This window comes from Homo sapiens, chromosome X (assembly GCF_000001405.40).
Source record: "Homo sapiens chromosome X, GRCh38.p14 Primary Assembly".
NCBI lineage: Eukaryota > Metazoa > Chordata > Mammalia > Primates > Hominidae > Homo > Homo sapiens.
In genome coordinates, this window is record NC_000023.11 from 119,097,278 (window position 1) to 119,120,653 (window position 23,376).

Consider the following 23,376-nt stretch of genomic DNA (forward strand, 5'->3'; position numbering starts at 1 on the left):
GATGGAGCCTGTAACCCTGTCCTCATTATGGCTGGCCTCCATATCTCCATACTATTTGGTTCTGGGACACCTAGTTGAATTCCTCTGTAGGATCTTCAAAATAGTCTCCTCTGGGCTTCTGGACATAGCATTTTCCATATCTCAAAGAGCCTCCCCAGAGCTCTTTCCATTTCTAAGAAGATTTCGATTTCTGTTAGCAGAAGGCCCTTTGAAGATCAGCTGATAAACTGTCTCTGCTAGATACTAGTAGCAAACCATATATTATAATTTAGCAAGTAGACAGAATCTCCCATTGTGTTTACCCACTAAGTTCTCTTCAGGCTAGTTTTGCAAAGTGCCAGGTATCCCCTTGGTACTTGCAGCTTTCACATGCCTTCATGGTTCCCACCACCATTGTATGTTGATGCAGTGATAACCTTAGCTACTATCTTGGTTATGAAGATGGCACTGTCATTCCAGTGCATGGGGACTTAACGCAGTGCTAATGAGTCAGGCTGATGACAAATCCTGCAGACCATTCAGTTTTGGATTCAGGGAGAAGACAGAGAAATAGTACAGTTGACTTTTGTGGGATCAATCACACAAAAGTAGGATTGATCCCAAGATTTCCTTTACTTCTTTGTGCAACTTTCATCTATGAATTTATATACTGCCTCTTCCTGATATCATCTAGTTAGATTATGTTATCTACTGGAAATATAAATTTGATATCAGTGTATAGACTAAAAGCTCTTCTTTTATTGTTCTGAACATCTTTCATACCTCAGAGTGGTGTCATAGTTCTGGTCTTTTGGGGCTGGAGGATAACATCTATGCTCCCACTAACCTCACATGATCTGTCTTCCTTTTATCCCTGACCACATTACCAGCCATTTCCTGCTCCAGACACACTGCTGGTCTGCTGTTCTTCAAGCACTTCAGGCATGCTCTCCCCTTGGGGCCATTGTGCCTGCTGTTCCCTCTGCTAGGCATGCTCTTCCCCCATGTCCATGTGGCTAGCTCCCCTACTTTTTTCAGGTTTTGATTCAAAAGCCACCTTTTCATGGCCTGGTGTGGTGGGCTCACGCCTGTAATCTCAGCACTTTGGGAGGCTGAGGTACGCAGATCAACTGAGGTCAGGAGTTTGAGGCCAGCTTGGCCAACATGATGAAACTCTGTCTCTACAAAAAATACAAAACTTAGCCGGGTGTGGTGGCAGATGCCTGTAATCCCAGCTACTTGGGAGGCTGAGGCAGGAGAATCACTTCAACCTGGGAGGCGGAGGTTTCAGTGAGCTGAGATCACCCCACTGCACTCCAGCCTGGGCGACAAAGCGAGAGACTCCGTCAAAAAAAAAAAAAAAAAAAAAAGGCACCTTTTCAGTGATGTCTTCCCTGGCCAATCTATTTAAAATGTTTGAGCCACTTCATATCCCCTTCCTTACATTGTTTTTCTCCCTGTCACTGTTCTCACTGTCTGACATACAATATGTTTTCCTTATTTAGCTTGCTTATTGTCCATGTCCCCCATTACAATATAAACTCCATGAAGAAGGGTTTTTATCTGTTCTATGTACTACTGTATTGGGGATACAGTACCTCCAACTGTGCTTGTAGTAGTTGCACAAGCACTACATGGTAGTTGCTCAAAACATGTTTTTTGAACTGGTGACTTGATTACGTTAAAGGCTTCCACCAGAAGTTGCCTTTCTGAGATGTCATCAGAGCAAGCTCCTCTGTTCTCTGTATTATTTTAGTTATTCTTTCTGAGGCCTCACTAGCTCCAGCCAAAGGTAAAAGGAGAAAAACAAGGAGGTCTATGAATCTGGAAACCCTAAAAGAACACCGTACAACTTGCTTTGCATGAAAGCCAACTTATGATGCCCACATGGCAAGTAAGTACATATTTAATAAATATAAAGAACTTTCAATTCAGTTGGCATCCCAAACCTTGTGGTATAAACACTAAAGATACTTAATTTACTTTAGTGAAACTCATTCTATAGCATAACAGAAAAATCAGGCTCAGCAAAAATCTGGCAATTTCTAGATTGGGTATGTGCAGGACAGAGTTTATCTGTTTCCAATCACAGCCGAAGCCAAGAGTCCATCAAACTTAATAACAGCCACTGATCTCCCTGTGTTAGCTTGACTCTCACTAAGGAATCTATAGACATCAGTCTAAACACAGACCCACATCCATTCTCAAACCGGGGCTAAAAATTAAAGAGCAAAACGATCAAGCATTCTCCTCATCTGACTATGGAGCTCAAGCTCAGACATGTGATTTAAAACAGTCTTAACAGGATCTCTGTTGTTAGGTTTAGAGTATGTTATGTGGGTATAGATTATATGTATATGTTATGACTTCCCTTAACTCACCAGTGAATTAAATAAACTATACACTCTCTGGAACTCTACACAGTATTTCTCAATGTATGGTCTGGAATCCCCCAGCACCAAAATCACCTGGAATGAGTGTTGAAAAAGCACATTTCGGGGACATATCAAGACCTAATGAGTAAGAAGATCAGGGGAAAGGCTTTAGAATAGCTTTAACAGGGTTTCCAAATGAGTCTTCCAGGAGCCAAAGTTGAGAACCAATGCCTAGTCCTCTAGCATGAAGAGAACGGCTCCCATTTTCAAATATGAGTACAGCAAGTTCAGGAATAATCCCATCAGTTGCCTTAGAACAGGAGTCAGAAATATATGGATTCCTTTTGGGAAGTGTGGCTCCTTCTTAGGCCTTCTTAGGTCCTCTTTCCCTCAGTCCTATTGGTTAGCAGCAACTTAGAAGAGTTACCACAGGCCAGGCATGGCGGCTCACACCTGTAATCCTAGCAGATCGCGAGGTCAGGAGATCGAGACCATCATGGCTAACATGGTGAAACCCCGTCTCTACTAAAAACACACACACAAAAAAAAATAGCCGGGCATGGTGGTGCACACCTGTAGTCCCAGCTACTCGGGGGACTGAGGCAGGAGAGTTGCTTGAACCCGGGAGGTGGAGGTTGCAGTGAGCCGAAATTGTGCCACCGCACTCCAGCCTGGGCAACAGAGCAAGACTGTCTTTAAAAAAAAAAAAAAAAAAAAAAAAAGCTACCACAGAAGCCAACCACAGGATTTTATGAGTTGCCCAAGAAAAGCAAATAGAATCCCTTCCTGGCAGAATTCTGAAAGAAAAACGAGTGGAGAAAGTGGGACACCTTTCTCTACTTTTCCATCCTCACTCCCCTCCAACCCTACTTCTCCTTCCACGCACTCTGACAGCCAACATACCCTGTCTGAACCCAATCTGCATATTATTTTTTCGTTCGTATAAATCTAAGGGGTAGAAGCGTAGCTTATTACATGGATATATTGGATATATCACATAGAGGTGAAGTCTGAGCTTTTATTTTTACTGTAACCATCACCCAAATAATATACCTTGTACCCATTAAGTAATTTGTCATCCCTCACCCTCCTCCCTCACTCCCACTCTTCCAAATCTCCAATGTTTATTTCCCACACTCTATGTCCACCGTGTACACATTATTTAGCTCCCACTTATAAAGGAGAACATTTGGTCCATTATGTATATTATTAAGTACAGCTGAGATGTTTTCATTTCTTCTCCTGTGTTTTAGAGAGAGTTTAGCACAGATATCTTCAGATTAATATCTGGAATTAAATGGGCTCCTTGTGCCTCAACATCTGGGAGATGTGCCCGGCCTGGTACCTACTAATCCAGAATCTTCTTAGAGAAGGAACCTGGGTTGGACCTTGGGCCAGGGGAAAGGATTCTTCAGCACTGGTTAGTAGAGAGCTGGACACTCTTTTGCTGTTAGCTGGGATAAGGGCTGCTCTTTGGAAAATAATAACACATTTTCACTTCTTTTTTCCCTTCTGTCAAGTTTCTAGACCCAGTGCAAAGGAGTTTAGTCAATAATGCACATTTTGGTAGTCCTTTTTAATGATTTCTTTTTCTGTTGTATGATGCTAGGGTTTTCCCCTTTTGAGCAGGGATAGAGAGAAGGTTGACTGTCTTCCTGGAACAAAGGAAAGCTCTGATTGTAATGTCTTAAATAAGGGGATTACCAGGTGGCTGTCTAGGCCCAGATTTCATCAAGCATTTGGCCCATAAAGCTGTCACTCTTGAGAAAAAATACATTCTGAAACTGACACTGGGATGTTGGAGAGTTGGGTTCTATGTGAGTCAAAAGCTAAAAGCATGTGTCTATCTCCACAAGAAGAAGCGACTCTTGGTGGGAAATGTGGTTCTTGGTGGGAGACTTCTGCACCAAGAGGTACTGGCACAGAGTGTGAGACCCAATAATGGCTGTAGGGATTTTAATTCTCTGGGTGTGGCAAAGTGGCTTCTGTGCCCATTCCTGAGAGTTCCTGCACAGCTGCTGCTTCATTCAAAATCTATGTTACTTAAAAGCTGTTGTGGTCAATATTTTTGCCAACTTGAAAGTTCTTAGAGATGGAATTTCTGGTATTCCCTGCAGCCCCCTTCTATCACAATCTCTTCAATTTCTTAACTAGTATAGAGAATAAGAACATGGACTTTGAAACCAAATAGGCCTGAATATGACATCCTAGCTATACCACTTATTGGCTGTCTGACCTTGAGCAAGTTCCCTAGCCCTTTTGAGCCTCAGTTTTCATGTCTGTAAAATGGGAATAATCATAATACATACTTTGGTTTGTTGTTGTAAAGATTAAATAAAATTATACAAGGAAAGTGTTTAACACAGTGCCCGTTACATAAGAAAGTCTTGATAAATGTTAGCTGTCGTTGCTATTGCTGGGCATTGGTTATAAAAAGAGGACTGCTAGAAGCCACATAGTTCAGTGAAAAGTGCTATGGATTTGGTCAGGAGTCCTGGGATCAAGCCCCAGCTCTATCTTTGATTGGCTCTGTGGCCTTGGCCAAGTCACTTCACCTCTCTGAACCTCAATTTTTTTTGATCTTTAATGAGAATCTTTCCTATCTGCTTTACAGAGTTATTGAGAGAATCAAATGTAACTATATAAGGAAAATCACTTTGAAAGTTGTAAATTTGTATACAATCATGGGAGGGAGCATTATGTTCTCCTTTGATGTATTAGCGGATTTTAAAACTAAAATTTTATTTCATTTTAGAGACAGAGTCTCACTACATTGCCCAGGTGGAAGTACAGTGGCTACACACAGGCATGATCATAGTGCACTACAGCCTGGAGTTCCTAACCTCAAGTGATCCTCCTGCCTCAGCCTCCCGAGTATCTGGGACTACAGGCATATGCAGCAGAAGATTGCTTTAAAAAAAAAAAAGATGGCTCTGGGCTTCGGAGACTTATTTGTATACAATGCTGGGGAATTATGGTGTAAGCCATCCAGGTAAAGCATGAGATATTATAAAAAGAGGCATACTTGTAGCACTCAAAATTAACTCTTTATTAGCCAATTCAGTGGAATAACTTAACCCCCAAATGTTAAATGCCAGCATTTATCCTGCAATGTGACTGAGGCCAGGGAATTTAATCAGCCCAAACTTTAAGCTTTAAGAATTTTACCCTGACAATGTATATTGATAGCTTATCTTCACAGGTGTGGGACAAAGGACAAAACTCAAACTCATCCGTCTGCTCACCTGAGACAAATGCATATTTGATTGCTTCTTCTGATGTAAAAATGCAGATTCACTGAGGAAGATGAAGGCATAAGTGACTATTCCTCTACCCCCTCTCACATGTAAATTGTGTATTCAGTGAAAGGCTGATCAAAGACTCAAAAAAATGCAACCATTTGTCTCTTATCTTCCCACACCTTTTAAAAATGTGGTCATCTTTCCCCAATATCCGCCTTTTCCCCCTTTAGACATTGAAGCCCTCAAAATTATCTTTGGAGAAAGGCACAGACCTGCCTCCCAGGTGCACATCCTTAACCATGGCAAAATAAAATTTCGAAATTGTTTCTGACCTGTCTTAGGTACTTTTCTGGTTTACAAACTCAACAACAAAAAGATAAATAACCCAATTAACAAATGGGCAAAGGAGAAATAGATATTTCTCCAAAGAAGATACACAAATGGCTAACAAGCACATGAAAAGATACTTAACATCATTATTTACTAGAGAAATGCAAATCAAAACCACAATGAGATACTATTTCACACCCACTAGCATGACTATAATTTTTTTAAAACAGGAACCTAACAAGTGTTAGCCAGGATGTGGAGAGATTGGAACCCTCATACATTGCTAGTGGGGATGTAATGTAAAGTGGTATTGCTGTTGGGGAAAACAGTTTGGTAGTTCCTCAAAAACTTAAACATAGAGTTACCATATGACCCAGCAATTCCACTCCTAGGTATATACCCAAAAGAATTGAAAACAGGTGTTCAAACAAAAATTTGTACAAGAATGTTCATAATAGCACTATACACAATAACCAAAAGGTAGATAGGACACAAGTGTCTATCAATGGATGAATGGCTAAACAAAATGTGGTACATCCATATAATGAAGTATTATTTAGTCATAAATAGAAATGAAGTACTGATAAATGTCACGACATGGATGAACCTCAAACACATTATGCTAAGTGAAAGAAGCCAGCACAAAAGCCACATATTGTATGATTCCATTTACGTGAAATATCCAGAGTAGGCAAGTACAGAGATAGAAAGCAGAATAGTTGTTGTCAGGGGCTGATGGGAGATACGAATGGTGAATGACTGCTTAATAGGAACGGGGTTTCCATTTTGGAGAACCAAACAGGTTCTGGACCTTGATAGTGGTGATGATTGTACAACATTGTGAATGTATGTACTGTCACTGAATTGTATACTTTAAAATGGTTAAAATGGTAAATTTTATGTGATCTGTATTTTACTACAATAAAAAATGTTATCTAATTCAATCCTTCCACTAGTTCAGATTATACATCCCAATTCATCTGATTTAGTGGCATTCTGCAGAAAATACTTGTAGTCATAGCCCAGATCCATAAAACAATAAGCATCCATCCACCTACTACCAGTCTGTGCTTTAACTTTGGTTTTAACCTAATTTCTTTGTTGACATATCTAACTGAGGGCTGCTTCACTTCATAGGATCTTTTAACATCAAAATAGAGTTTTGTTCTGACTGGCCAATTCTCTTCCCTATAAATTAGGTTTCTGTTTACTTTTTATTTCCAAAGGTTAATCATTCTAAACTCTACCTCACTCTCAGAGCCTTTTCAAGTTCACCAACAACCAATTCAATTAAACACACATTAGTTTGAGAATGGAAGTGTTGATATGAGCACACACTATTATACGCTGATTGATATTATCTGGTTGACAAACCTAGACATATGAAATAGACACATCGCCCTCTCACGTGTCAACTGATTTTTCACATGGATATGTGTCTATCAAATAATACTATATGTCCTAACCTCTGATTTTTTTGGATTTCTAAGTGTAGAGTCTATGCTTCAGTAAAAGTCTGTATTTTTATCTTCATGAAATAACTCAAAACATCTGCAAACTATTATTTTTTCGAAAATACTATCTTCCCTTGCTTATACATTAAAATGGTGATTATTTGGTTTGTAGAATTGGATGGAAAACCACCATGCAAATCAAAAGCCAAGAATGTCAGGTCCTTCCCCAATCATCCCCCTAGTGTTGAGCTCCAGCGGGAGAATAGATGATACAAGAAGAAGTTATGCCTCTGATCTGTGAGGCCCCTCAACCTGTCCCTTAATATATACTCACCTGAGTCGCTGTCAAACTCTTATGTGGTAAAGCCTTCTTTTGTGGATTCTTAGGTGACTCATCATCGAGAGAGATTTCTACCAAGTTCTTAGAAATTATTTCAGGTTGGATAACAGGTGGGATGATGCTGAGTCGGCGTCGGCGCGATGGTGGGTTCTGTCAAGAGGGAGAATAGAAGGAACAATTTAAAACCTGTGCTCTCTTCCTCAAATTAGTGGTTTTCTCTTATTCTTTAATAAGAGTAAGGAATCCAAAGTTGGTTGAAGGACTAAGAATCCAAAGTGAAAAAAATAAGCCCAGGGAAGAATTTCCTACCTCCCCGTCTTCATTCCTAGTACCTACTCAAACCAAAGACTACTAGCCTTGATTTCCCCTCTGGGGTGCTGCACACTTTTGCCAATCCCCAAACAAAGACAGAAACTTCAAATTGCTTGTTCGTGCAAGATCAGAATCCTGATGTTATCTCCTTACTGATGTTAAATACAAATCTCATTTAGTTCTGATCTTTGTTTTAATGTCTGAATTTGACTTTGGAAGTCCAGTTCTCATAGAGGCGAGTCTTTTGAGTTATGACCTGGAATTGGCATCCAAACTGCACTCTTTGCTCCTATTATTCAAGGAATTATTTGGATTGAATCTTGACTGTGTTAGTTGCTTATCTTAATCATGTCAATAATGATTTTCTGGGATTTTAAAGAAAATCTACAGAATTTAAAAATCTATAGATTTTAAAGAAAATCTATGGAATGGTTTCCTAAAGGGACAAAAATTTATCATTTGGGCTTTCCTTGGGATTCAGCAGACAATTTAGTTGATTCCATTTTGAAGAAAATGGTACACTTGACTTTGAGACACTGGTCCCTGCCATGGTCCTCTTGATGTGGGTCAGAATCCCTGCTTTTTATCTTTAACAAATACTGGCCAAGAATCTGCAATGCATTACACCCCATTCCAGGAAATGGGCCTACAACAATAAACAAAACAAATTCTTGTGGTCATGAAGCTGACATACTTGCTTCTGTTGTAGACTCTGCTCAGCTCAGGGCAGATAGCCTTCAGACACTGTAGCCAAAGAAGGAACCACAGTGAAGCTTACAAAGGTTGTGCTCCTGGGGTGCTCCTGGCCAGTGTCTCCAGTGCTTCCTTATTACTACCAGGCCCCATTGGGAGCTCTTGGGGAGAGGCCATATCAACCAATTCCAAGCCCAGCTTTAATAATAATAATTACAATAATGACAACTAACTTTTACTAAGAGCTTACAATGTGCTAAGCAGAGAGTGCTCTCCATAGATACATCTCACTGAAGCCTCACAACAATTCTTTGAAGCATTTGCTATTGTGGGCTCCATTTTACGGACGGGGAAAACAAAATTTGAGAGATGATGTAACCTGCCCTAATTCTTTCAGTGGCAGAGCAAGCATTTGAAAGGTCTGTCCAGCTTGATAGCCCTTGTTCTTGATCACTGTGAACTCGTGTCTCCTAATTATAAGAGCCAGAAAAGGGAGAGCCCATACTGAAGCCCAAGTTCAAGACGTTTAAAGGCAACAACCAGAACATATGGTGTGCCTGCTTCCTTAAGAAGGGCTGAGGGACAGTCAAGCCCGTGAGCAGTAAGAAAAACTGTTTTGAAGTCTCAGTTTCTTAAATGACTAAATTCAATTTGATTCAACAACAGCAAGATGCTAATAATCTGCCATTGTATCTTTTTAACTATTTGTGCTCAAATAAAGGGAACAGAAAATGTCTTGGAGAGTAATGTAGGCATCCACATTCCTAACACTTCAGATAGGACATTAGGTGAAAATCTGGCAGGAAATAAAATTGGCTCAGTGTCAGTATTTCTGACATAACTGTATACCTGGATTTCTTCTTTAACAATCTCCTCGTTGTTCTGAATGTCACTTAATCCATTAGAATCCTGCCCCTTCAAGGGAATTGACCCCACTGGCCAATTTCATGCTTGCCCCAGCTTTTATGTAGCACTGGGTGTCAGGACCCTTGACTTAATGCTATCAACCATCCTTCCATTGGGGTTGTCATTTTGGTACTTAAGGGAAATTTCCCATGCAAAGGTCAGGTTGGTTGTTGATAACTTAGGTCCTATTAATACCCTATGTTGTCTTCAGCCTTGTTTTCCAGGGTATCAACTAAGGGATCAGGCCAAAAGTGTGAGGTATAGGCCCAAGCCAAACATTTAAGAAAGCTTGCCTTTAGGCTATTGTGGCCTTCCCCAACCACTTCCTTGTGAGAAGTAATGCCCCTAGAATATTTTCCTTTAATTTTCACAAAAAATAATTTTTTTAAAAAAATGGAATATCTCTGCTATATGAGTCTCTCTGTTGCTGGGACTTAGAGAGGAGGGGAAAGAAGGAGGAGTCCAAGAAACCAGTTTCCTCTTTCTGAATGTGAGAACCCTGTTGCCACTTGGTCATGGTCATGAGGCTGCAGGGAGTGTAACTATGGAGGTGAGTGAAAGCTAGTGTTGATGTTTAAAACTGAAGATTGAATACTTCATGGAAGTGACTTTTCCTGCTGTAGTACAAGAGGGAAATAGTCTTCTGACCCTAGGGGCTGCTTAACAACTTTAGGGTCAACACCATTAGTGTCTATCTCAGTGTTTTCTCCTCTATAGCTAAAGGATCCAGAAGAAAGGAAACCAGAGTGAGAGATGTGGGGTCTTAACAGACATGTCAGAAATAAGCCCCACTTACCTTTTGCCAAATGGAAAATAATCATCTCTCCAATGGAGAAGGGTCTCCTCCTTGTTCTCTTCCCACTTACACAGGGACCTTTGGGCATAATTCCACCCACAGGCTGAGACGGGGAAGGCAGCTGTTAAGGGTTGTCTCCTTGACAATATCTTCAGCTCCCCCTGAAGCATTTCTGGATCAGAGCTATACTCTGACTGAGCAATGGATCCCTACCATAAGTTTAGGATTAGCTGGAGGCAAGATGCTACATACATGCTACATTATGTAGGTGCTAAGGTGTACCCTTCTTTCTGTCCAGGCAGGTATAAAGAAGTTGAGCATCTTGGGGTAATGGAAAGATCATGGGGTTTGAGTTTAATACACCTGGGTCAGATTTCCAAGTCTACAATTTACTACCAGGGTGGGCTTGAGCAATATCTTTAACTTCTCTGAGTCTTCATTCAATCCTCACAAGCAACCCTTTGAGGTAGATGTTAATATTATACCCACTGTAGATGAGGAAAAGAAGGCCCAGAGAAGTTAATCAACTAGCCCAGGGGTCACACAGCCAGTAAGTAGCAGAGTAGGAATTCAAGCATAGATCTGTCTTTCTGACTCAGCTGCCCATGCGCTGAACAATTCCACTTTGTTACCTCAGTGATCTTGGGGCCAGCAACCCAGACTGCACTTGTAGGCACATTTTGAAGCACAGCTCCTGACATGGCTCCAGACACAACTCCAGGAACCTTACTCCTAGGTTTAGGCAGAGTTCTGGAAATATGGGATCTCTGTGTAAGAGAGAGAGAAAAAAACTTGAGGATTGGTATGCCAGCACATAAACAGTGGAATGTTGCTGCCAAAATAATTATTCTTATGGTGTGTTAAGAGAAGTGAATATAGGCCAGGCACGGTGGCTCGCGCATGTAATCCCAGCACTTTGAGAGGCCAAGGCGGGAGGGTTGCTTGGGCCCAGGAGTTTGAGACCAGCCTGGGCAACATGGTGAAACCCTGTCTCCACAAAAAGTACCAAAAAATCATCCAGGCGTTACAGGCCTGTAGTGCCAGCTACTCGGGAAGCTGAGCCTGGGAAGTTGAGTCTGCAGTGAGCCATGATCATGCCACTGCACTCCAGCCTAGGTGACAGAGTGAGACCTGTCTCAAAAAAAAAAAAAAAGAAGTGAATATGGCAATACTAATCAACACTGTGTGCCAGGTAATAGGCACATTATATATTTATACATTCTGTCACTCAAGGCTTACAACAGCCCTGTGGGGGTAGGATCAGCTGAGAAGCAGAACCAAGTTCCCACTCCTTTTAATTTTGGCAGGGTTAGAGTAGGGAACAGAAGAGAAGTAGTCCAATTAGACACTGATGCTCGAGTCCACTATTACCTGCTGAGGTCTGCCTCTCTGGGGATCCATAGAAGGAAACATTTTACTTGCTGATCTTTCAGGCTCAGGACCCAACATGAAGATGCTATCATGGGATAGGGCTTTGCTCCCCATGCTGCTCTTGGCCCTGGACAGAAAGGAAAGGTCTTGTAAAAGCAACCCAAGGGCCATGGGAACTGAAGACAAATGTATATTCATAATATGGCCTACCATAGATACCTCAGAAGGAGAGCAGGGATGCATATGTGCTGACATAGAAAGTGGTTCATGAGATAGTAAGTGAAAAAGATAATAGTATGGTCCCATTTAATATATACACACATATATAGTTCATATTCAAAGAAAAAAGTCTAGAAGGATATCCACAAATTGTTAGAGGTGGTTCCCTCTGAGGAATGGCGCACTAGGGACAGGAATGAAATTTTCATTTTCTACTTCATGTCCTTCTGTATAATTTTAATTTTTACATTATGAGCATATATCCTTTTTACATAACAGTCTTACTGAGATATAGTTTACATGCCATACATTTTGCCCATTTAAAGTATATAATTCAATAGTGGCAATTCCGGGGAATGGGAGGAAAGGCCATGAGTTTTGTTATTATTACAGTGAGAATTATAAAAGATCTTTCACATCCAAATTTCTCTCGTGTTTTTGTTTTGATTTAAAAAAAATCAAAGATCTTCACAGATACACAAGGCTTTAATTCATCAGATCCTTTCCTCTTTCACACAAGAGCTCTACAATATATCTATCCTATTTTCAAAGTCATCCTATGTACCACCTGCACCTCCCTTCCCCAAGCTTGCTAAATCCAGATGAAAATACCTTCTGATTGGGAATGGTGCCAGGTTGATGATAATTACATGTTAAGAAAAATCAGAAGAAAGATAAAAACAAATGAAAGGCTAAAGACATGAAAGACTCCTTTTTGGAGTGTGGTAATGTATTTTACCTTTAAAAAATTTCAACCAAAGACATCACAGGAAGAGCAAACTACAGACCAATATCTCTTATGAATATAGACACAAAAATCCTCAATAACACACTCACGAACTGAATCCAACAGCATATAAAAAGAATTGTATACCATGACAAAGTAGGATTTACAAGGAATGATTGGCTTAATGTATGAAAATCAGTGAATGCCAAACACTGTATCAATAGAATAAAAACAAAAACTATATGACCATTTCAATAGATGCAGAAAAAACATTTGTAAAATTCAACACCCTTCCATGATAAATGCACTCAATCTTGATAGAAGATATCTGTGACAAACCACGGCTAACATCATGGTGAAGGCTGGATATATTCCCCCTAAGATCAGGAACAAGACAAGGATGACTGCTTTTATCATTTCTATTCGACACTGTATGGGAGATTATAGACCGGGAAATTAGGTAAGAAAATGAAATTAATGCCATCCAGAATGGAAAGGAAGAAGTGAAATTATCTCTATTCACAGATGACATAATTTTGTGTATAAAACTCTTAATGAATACGCTAAAAATGACTAGAATATATGAATTCATCAAAGTTGAAGGATGCAAGTGTATTTCTATACACTTGCAATGAACAATCTGAAAATGAAATTAAGAAAACACTTCCCTTTACAATAGCAACAAAAGAATAAAAACTTAAAAGTCAATTTAACAAAAGATGCGCAAAACTCATAATCTGAAAACTATAAGACACTGATGAGAAAAAATGCCAAAGTCCTGAATAAATGAAAGGAAATCCCATGTTCATTCATTGGAAGACTTAAACTTGTTAAGATGGCAGTACTTCACAAAATGATCTACAGATTCAATGCAATAGCTATTGAATTTCATGCTGGCTTTTTTTTTTTTTCCAGAAAATTGATCTTAAAATTCATAGTGAAATGCAAGGGACCACAAATAGCCAAAATAATCTTGAACAAGAAGAACAAAGTTGGATAACTTATACTTCAATTTCAAAGCTTACTATAAAACTACAGTAATCAAGACAGTGTAGCACTAGCATAAAGATAGACATATAGATCAATGAAATAGAGTTGAGAGTTCAGAAATGAACCTATACATCTATGGTTGATTTTCAGCAAGGGTGCCAAGACTATTCAATGAAAAAAGAATAGTCTCTTCAACATATGGTGCTGGAGCAACTGGGTATCCACATGCAAAAGAATTAAGTTGGACCTTTATCTCACAACATATATAAAAATACTATAAAGACACATGCACATGTATGTTTATTGCAGCACTATTCACAATAGCAAAGACTTGGAACCAACCCAAGTGCCTATCAGTGATAGACTGGATAAAGAAAATGTGGCACATATACACCATGGAATACTATGCAGCCATAAAAAATGATGAGCTCATGCCCTTTGCAGGGACATGGATGAAGCTGGAAACCATCATTCTCAGCAAACTAACACAGGAATAGAAAACCAAACACCGCATGTTGTCACTCATAAGTGGGAGCTGAACAATGAGAACACATCGACATGGGGGGTGGTACATCACACACTGGGGCCTGTTGTGGGGTGGGGGGCTAGGGGAGGGATAGCATTAGGAGAAATACCTAATGTAGATGATGGGTTGATGTGTACAGCAAACCACCATGGCACATGTATACCTATGTAACAAACCTGCACTTTCTGCACATGTATCCCAGAACTTAAAGTGTAATTTTAAAAATTAACTCAAAATGGATTAAAGGCCTAAATATGAGAGCTAAAACTATAAAATTCTTAGAAAAAACATAGGAGTAAATCTTTGTGATCTTGGATTTGGCAATGGATTTTTAGATATGACACCAGAAGCTCAAGTAACAAAAGAAAAAATAAATAGATAAATAGTGATATGGTTTGGCTCTGTGTCCCCACCCAAATTTCATGTCAAATTGTAATCCCCACATGTCGAGGGAGGAACTTGGTGGAAGGTGATTGGGTCATGGGGGCAGTTTCCCCCATGCTGTTCTCGTGATAGTGAGTGTGTTCTCATGAGAGCCGATGGCTTAAAAGTGTGTGGCATCCCCGCTTGCACTCTCTCTCTACTGCCACCATGTAAGACGTGCCTTGCTTCCCCTTTATCCTCTGCCATGATTGAACTGTGAGTCAATTAAACCTCTTTTCTTTATAAATTACCCAGTCTCAGGTAGTTCTTTATAGCAGTGAGAATGGACTAATACAAATGGATTTCATAAAAATTAAAAATGTTCGTGCATCAAAGGTTACTAGGAAGAAAATGAAAAGATGACCTACGTAATGGAAGAATATATTTGCAAATTATATATCTGATAAGTCTTGGATCTGAAACATATAAAGAACTCTTTCTTACTAATAGGAATTCTTTTTATTGAATTCTTAAGGAATTCAATAATAAAAATTTAAATAACCCAATTAGAAAATAAAAAAAGATGTGAATAGACATTTCTCCAAACAAGAAAGATATACAAATATATTTTCCAAAGATATATAAATGGCCAACAAGTACATGAAAAGATGCTCAACATCACCAGTTGGCAGGGAAATACAACTCAAAACCATAATGAGATGCCATTTCACACCCACTAGAATGGCTAGAATGAAAAATTCAATTCAGATAATAACACGCATTGGCAAGGTTGTGGAGAAATTGGAACACCCATACACTGCTGGTGGTGCCCCCATACATTGCTGGTGTTAAAGTGGTCCAGCCACTTTGGAAAACAGTCTAGCAGTGCCTCAAAAGGTTAAATATATAACGGCCATTTGACCCAACAATTCCACTCCTAGGTATATATCCCAGAGAAATAAAAACATATATCTGCCCCAAAACTTATACACAAATGTTCACAGCAGTATTATTCACAATAGCCAAAAGGTGGAAACAACCCAAATATCCATTAACTGATGAATGGATAAAATGTGGTATAGTCATGCAATGGACAGTCAGTAGCAAAAAGGATGAAATTCTGATACATGCTACAACATGAATGAACCTTGAAAACATTATAATGAGTACAAGAAGTCAATAAGAAAAGACCAGCTTCCACTCATGTGAAATGTCCAGAATAGGTAAATCCACAGAGACAGAAAGCAGATTAATGATTTCTAGGGCCTGGCGGGCGTTGGGGGAAGGTTGAATAGGGAGGACTGGTCAATGGGTACAGGAGTTTATTTTTGAGGTGATGAAAAAGTTCCAAAATTTATTATGATGATGATTGTACAACTCTGTGGATTTACAAAAAACGTTGAATTTTACCGTTTAAGTGGTTTAATTGTATAATATATGAATTATATCTCAATAAAACTGCTACCAAAAAAGAAATCAAGTTCTTGATGCATGATTTTAAATAAATGACCCTTGAAAACATAGTAAGTGAAAGGAAGCCAGTCAAAAATAGCCACATATTGTATAATTCATTCATGGGAAATGTTCCCAATAGGCAAATCCATAGAGGCAGAAAGCAGATCAGTGGTTTGAAAGAGGATAGGGGAATGGAGAATGACTGCTACTGGGCGCAGGGTTTCTTTTTAGGGTGACAAAATGTCCTAAAATTGGGTAATAGTGATAGCTGCACATGCTAAAAGGTAGAACTTTGTAGTATGTGAATTATATTTCAAGAAAGCTGTTATATAGAAACATAAAAATTTTAAATGATAAAAGTTATTCCTGTTAGGTAGGAGAAAATGTGTATGTTTATATAAAAGATGAGATTAGACACGAAAAAATAAAGGAAGAAAAGAAGAAAAAAGCAAGTAAGCTGATACATGCTACAACATGAATGACTCTTGAAAACATGCTAAGTGAAAACATACTAAGTGAAACAACCTTTGTATGATTCCACTTACATGAAATATCCAGAATAAGAAAATTTATAGAGGCAGAAAGTAGATTAGTGGTTATTTAGGGGGGAACCTGTTAATTGGTACAGGGTTTCTTTTAGGGAGGGGTAGCAATGTTTAAAAACAGATAAAATAAACTTTAAAATGTTTAAATGCCCTTTTTGTACTTATTATCTTTATTACAAAACAATACATTTATGTTAGCACTTAAAAAAAATCTTCAAATGGTAACTAGAGTAGCAGCTTGGGCATTGTGGGGCTAGCACCTGCCCTGTCATTATGAGCCTGTGGGGACTTCATATGGATATATTTGATAATGACACACTATAAGGACAATCTCATGTTATGGGGATTAAAACAGAACCCGCTCTAAGATGGCTTGTGGGCCAACAGGAGAGGAGAGGAGAGAGATGTCTGCTGCTTTTTACTAAACTCCTACTTACCTTTTCCCTATAAAACTCTGCTATCCAGGTGGCCCTGGTGTTGGAAGCAACGTAGTCTGCTTTATAAAACAGCAGTCCAGCAGAAAATTACTGTGACTCTCTAGATAAACACTTAATGGATATATATATGATTGATCCAGCATTGAGAATGTAATGTTTCCAGACATCTCTATATACACGCATACGCTCAGTATGCACATATAACACGCTTTCATTCACTGCTGCTCTATGATCTACTGGCTCAAATCAGGTTCAGAACCAGTGTAGCATCTGTGACTACCTTGCCTCCTCTGCTTTTTGCAGAAAAAGTGAGAGGAAATCTTGGGCTATGAGTGGGCTTAGAAATGTCTCTCATTTCCATGCTGTGCATTAACCAAAGTGAAATGGTTGAATTGGCTCTATAGTGCCAAGCCCTCCCTGATCAAAAGATTAAATTAGCACCAGTTGTGGCCAAGTCTGTCAGAAATGAAAACTCTTGTCCACTTAACATATCTTGTGCTCATTGATCTGTTCCCTGGAGGCGAAAATAAAAATAAAAATAAAAACTCCCAAACAAAATCTCAGCCTTAATTAAGGGCAGTGAAGTATATTATTACAACAGCACTCATTAAGAAATCAAATGAAGGAACGGGATTTGTCCATTCCATCAGATACGGCTTAATACAGTCTTGGAAATAGATGCTGGTCCTATGGTACAGGCCAGGGGAAGGCTGGTCATAAGTTTCGTTATGACTAATTGCTTCAGTGAATGAAAAAAGCTGATCTCCCTTCTCCGGAGTGACATTTTCCAGGGTTTCTTCCCCTAGCACATTAAGCAGAAGACTGAGACCAGGGGTGATCTTCAGGCCCCCTAAGTTATATTATTTGAATTTCCTTGCACACAAAAAAATCCCCCCCTTCTCTCTCTCTCTCTCTCTCAGGTTCACATGTGCACACACTTCTGGAAAGGAAGGAACAAGTAAAAGGGAGAAATGTAGAACTTTAGCAGAGATAGTAAACCTGAATGCCCCTCCCTGACCTCCCCCTGGGTTTTAGCAGGGCTAGTCTTAGTCTTACTGAACACTGCAAGGCAATGGGCTATAATAGTATTACTTGTGAGGTACTACATAAGCCCCTCTTTCAAAACCGTCTGCCCTACTCCCAGCAAGACTACTTGAAATTCCTTACACTGGATGCACTCATGAAGGTTGTTCTTAAGGAGCCATATATGATAACTATCAGGCCATTATGTTATAGAATGTATTGGGGGAGATATTGGGGACAGTATAACATGTCAGCTAACTGCCTCATTCCCTCAAGGCTTTGCCTGGTTGGAGCGGGCAGCAGGACTGGTGAGCTCTGTGGGGAGTCCAGATAAGTCTGGCATTTAAGGCCAGAAGAACAGGCCTAAGCAGAACTTCATAGAGGGGGATCTGATTGATCCAGAGACAGCTGGGAATCCTAGGTGTCCAGATAGCACAATAGGATGTGGAAATTTGGGCACTGCAGATGAATATCTGAACAGCGGTGGCAGTGGTAGCTGGAAACAGTCTTCCCCATGCCCCCTGTGACTATAGCATTTCCCCTAGTCTCCTGAAATGGAGGGAGAAAGGGATCTGGGCTGTTTGCTTGCATGTGTGTTTTTACAGCAACACAGTGATCTCATGCTCATGACCCACCCCACTCCCAGCTAGATAGCTTTACTATAGGAGGCTTTCATCACTTGTTATGAGATCTTGGCTAGATCGGTAGTCTGAGAGCCAGGCAAGCAAACCAGACCAAGCCTCCTGAATGACGTAGGCCCTTCTTACCAGATCAAACAGGCCTTCAGCTCCTCATTGGCTGCAGGCCCCACATCTCAAGTTATTTTAGTTGCGACAGGCAGGGCTTCCCTGAATATCTGCACCCTCTTATTCAGTGCTCTCGGGAAGTGGGGTATGCATTTGCCATGCTCCAACCCACTGAGATGTGCAGCTCAGACAACAAACATGCATATGCACACAGAGAAAAGCACCACCCCCCTCCCCCGGACATGACTGCATTGGCAATGGCTGCAAGCCTGGCCCCCACAGGTGGGGACTCTTGGTGTCCCTGGTGATTTGGCTGCCGAAAGGTGACCTAGATCCAACTGCCTGCCTCTTCCCCTGTCCCCATCACTCTCCACCGCATCTGAGCTCACCTGGCCTTAGTTGGTTGATTTTCCCGAACGGGCTGCAGAGAAGAGATGTTAATGTTGCTGCTGGACAAGCTCAGTTCTAGCATTTCTTCTTCCTGGGTATCTTCGGCTTCTTTTTCCTTCTTCTTAACAAAAAAGCTCTTAAGGGCTTTAAATTTGCATTTCTTCTTTCCTGGAAGTGAAAAATGAAAATGAGGCAGAGTGTGATGGTAGAAGGGAAGACAGGAGAGGAAAAAGAGCCTTCATGAGAGGAAAGAGGACCATGATCCCACCCAGGTGTCCTGCAGAGCTTGGACTCAACCCCAATGCTGACAGCACCCTTCAACATTCATTTGATTAGTCGTCCCCTTAATAACTCAGTAACAAAGTGTCTGAGTTACTGGTAAAAGCAGAAGCCCAGGCCACAGCTTGTCATCTCTGGGCAGCTGCTATTCAGGCCAAACTCACTAGGAATTCACTTGCCTCTCAATTTCAGCTATTAACATATACACCTCTTTCTTTGTCCTAAGAAGTTCATTCATGTGAAGCAATGATTGAGGCAATGAAAGCACTTAGTACTCCCCTGACTCTACCCCAGTGGCTGGAGTCATTGCAATCCAATAGGAGAGCCAAGCTCCCACATGTGAAAAACACTTCAGAACCCTTAGAAATCCAAGTCTAAGTGGCAGTTGATACTTCCTAGCCTGCGTGCTCAAAGGATGCAGACCCAAAGAGTGAGTGCGGTTGGTTAGTGCAGTCCAGGAACACTTCCTTGAGGAAGGAATTTATGAGCAAGGGAGATGGCCGGGAATCAGAAAGAAGAAAGGGCTGCCCAGGCAAAGAAGCTGCCTGTGTAAAAGGCATGTCAAAATCAGATACCAAAGAGTTTTTCAAGGAGTGTGTGTGTGTGTGTGTGTGTGATGATGATCATTGTGTGTGTTCTTCAAGTCTTGCCAATTGGTTTGGATTATCTACAGGGCTGCTGCCCTTTGCACATGCAGATAAATGAGAGTTTGCTCTATCTATAATAATTACCAGGGCAGCAGTGAGGAGTGTGAGTTTTAAATGCCCTTAAGGTGCTGTCTGTTTGGGCTTTACTTTTTTTTTTTTTTTTTGAGACAGAGCCTCACTCTATCACCCAGGCTGGAGTGTGATGGCATGATCACGGCCCACTGCAACTTCCACCTCCTGGGCTCAAGCCATCCTCGCACCTTGCACCTTGCACCTCAGTCCCACCCCAGTAGCTGGGACTATAAGCACGCACCACCACACGTGGCTAATTTTTGGATTTTTTGTAGAGACGACGCTCTAGAAACTAGAGTTGAGTTCTAGAACTAGAGTTGAGTTCTAGTCTCAAACGCGAACTCTTGGGCTCAAGTGATCCACCCGCCTTGGCCTCCCAAAGTGCTACAATTACAGGCATGAGCCACCACGCCGGGCCTCTTTAGTTTCTTAATAAGCACATATGTCTTTATTGTGCTTATTAAGAAACTAAAGGGGAGAAGGGGGAGAGGGCTCGTGCTGCATTCTTCAAAGGGAAGGAATTAGCTCTTATTGATTTCACATGCAACAAGTGCCAACTAAGTTGTCTCATTCCAAGTCTCAACTGTCTGGTCTCCAGAAGGTCTCATCAGCACAGCAATTCTGTGCTGGCAATGAAGGGTCCAGACAAGGGAGTTGCCAATGCAGCAGCCATCATGAAAGGCTTAATGGTGTAATGGAAAGCACCATCCAAGAGTCAGAAAATTCTGGAATCCTAGGCTTGAATTCACTATCAATTAGCTCTGTGACCTGGAGTAGGTCACTCAACCTCTCTGGGACTCAGCAGGAAAATTAAAGAATTGCACCTGATCAGCATCTCCCAAAGTGTGTTCAGAGGGATGCTCATAAGATTTGTTGTATGAGAAAGGGATCCGTAGTCCAGTCAATCTGGAAAATTCTGGATTAGACAAAGTTCAGTAGCCTGCTTTTCAACAAAACTTTTCTGAAACTTCAAAATGGTTATGTATATGGTGAAGTTCCAAGAAACCAGGCAACAATATTATCTCCCAATGTATGTAAGCGGAATGTCTGGCAAAAAACACTTTGAGAAATGCTGAACTAGAGTTCCTTTAGCTTTGAAATGCTATGACTTATTTGTGCACCGATTACTCCTGAGCCTGCCAGGGTAAAGGTTCCTAAACTTCAAGGCCTGCCTTAAGTCCAGTTTCCCACCAATCAGTGAAACTCATGCTTCTCTCTATCTTCTGAACACCTAAAACTTGGCTGTTAGCATCAAAAGTTTTGCATCTGAATGTTCTTAGCCTCCTCACTCATTCATTCGTTCATTCATCTATTCAACAAATATTTATTAAGGTCAAGTACTTACCATGTTCTGGGTATCCGTGAGAAAGAAAGAAGTTATAGCTCCCTATGTCTTAGCTACCGCCCCTACATCAAGGCTGTAGGCAAGCCCTCCTTAGCATCCCCCTTAGCAACTAGCACAGTGCAAGGCATGCAGTAACAGCTGTGTCCACTGGGGAGCGCAGAATACCAACACAGCTTGTCACTTCCTTTGACTTGAGACCACTGAACAGAGTCATCCTTCAGCATACGATAATTTAAACACTGGCCCTTATAAGGAGTTGATGCAAATTATAGATGACATAGGTAAAGAGCTTAGCATATGATCTGGCATGTAGTAAGTGTTCAATAAATGTGAGCTAGTGTTAGGGACTCAGTAATTACTTGTTTATCAGGGCTGGATTCAATTCTATCTCATTAGAAGCAGCCCCATATCTATAACTGAATAGTGAACTGTACAATATGCATAATTGGAGGCAGAAGCCAGCATGGAGTAGAGCAACGAAAGATTATAGAACTGTTTGCTTGATAATTGCTGCTTAAGTAATTTCTGTTTTGGATGACTTGGGCAATTTCTTATCTACTAGAATTTGCCTATATAGGGGCATGGTTGGGAAAACTTGGCAATTCTACCTAAAGAGAGAAAGAATAAAAAATGAAAATGAAATAGGAAACGTATATTTTCTGCAAGATCCCTTTTAAAAGTGTTTTCAGAAAAAAATAATTTCTACAATAATAAAATATTTAAGGCTGGGCATGGTGGCTCACACCTGTAATCCCAGCACTTTGGGAAGCCAAGGCAGGAGGATTGCTTGAGCTCAGGAGTTCGAGACCAGCCTGATCAACATAGCCAGACCTCATCTGTATTGAAAATAAAAAAGGCCGGGCGCGGTGGCTCACGCCTGTAATCCCAGCACTTTGGGAGGCCGAGGCGGGCGGATCACGAGGTCAGGAGGTGGAGACCATTCTGGCTAACACGGTGAAACCCCGTCTCTACTAAAAATACAAAAAATTAGCTGGGCGCGGTGGCAGGTGCCTGTAGTCCCAGCTACTCGGGAGGCTGAGGCAGGAGAATGGCACGAACCCGGGAGGCAGAGCTTGCAGTGAGCCCAGATCCAGCCATTACACTCCAGCCTGGGTGACAGAGTGAGACTCCATCTCAAAAAAAAAAAAAAAAAAAAGAAAGAAAGAAAAGAAAAGAAAAATTAGCTGGGGGTGGTGGTTAGTGCCTGCACTCCCAGCTACTCAGGAGGCTGAAACAGGGGGATTGCTTGAGCCCAGGAGGTTGAAGCTGCAGTGAGCTATGACAATGCCACTGTACTCTCCCCTGGGCAAGGAAGTGAGATCCTTCTACCTCTGCCTCCCAAGGTGCCAGGATTACAGGTATGAGCTACTGTGCCCAGACGATTTATTGATTCTTGACAGGTGGATCTCATTCTGGCCTTCTGAAAGGGGAACAACTTTATGCTCAGAAGATTTAGAAACACAGCAATTGTTGCCCCTCTTGCTTCAAAATCCCATAGTGGAAGAGAGGAAAGCAAAGCTAGGATTCCCTAGCAATTCCTGAGTTGCAAACCTGCTTCTAATAATCCAGCAAAGACAGGGAGAAGAGAGTCAGCAGCTAATAGCCATTTGTGACACAATCTATAAACACTGACTAACTGGATAAAAACATGTCTAATAAACTATTTAGGCTGTAATAATGAATTCAACAAACAATCATTGTATGAGCAGAAAAATTGTACATTAACACATTTTTATGTTCCTAAATTAACAAAATGACTAGTGACTTTGGAACTGTAACAGGTGCTGAAAGTTAAGTATGCATATAGTCCAATT

The 23,376-nt window shown here is 40.7% G+C and overlaps 1 protein-coding gene across 4 annotated transcripts in view; it reads right to left on the minus strand.

Annotated features, from left to right (window-relative positions):
- The window catches only part of KIAA1210, a 72,496-nt gene that overhangs the window by 18,643 nt on the left and 30,477 nt on the right, over window positions 1–23,376 (minus strand). For all 4 annotated transcript variants that reach the window (XM_017029689.3, XM_017029688.3, NM_020721.1 and 1 more), the window contains 4 exons: window positions 19,219–19,387; window positions 11,799–11,925; window positions 11,060–11,194; window positions 7,715–7,870 (listed from right to left, as the gene is read on the minus strand). In XM_017029689.3, the coding sequence (XP_016885178.1) occupies window positions 7,715–7,870; window positions 11,060–11,194; window positions 11,799–11,925; window positions 19,219–19,387 (587 nt within the window). The remainder of the gene's footprint in view (window positions 1–7,714; window positions 7,871–11,059; window positions 11,195–11,798; window positions 11,926–19,218; window positions 19,388–23,376) is intronic.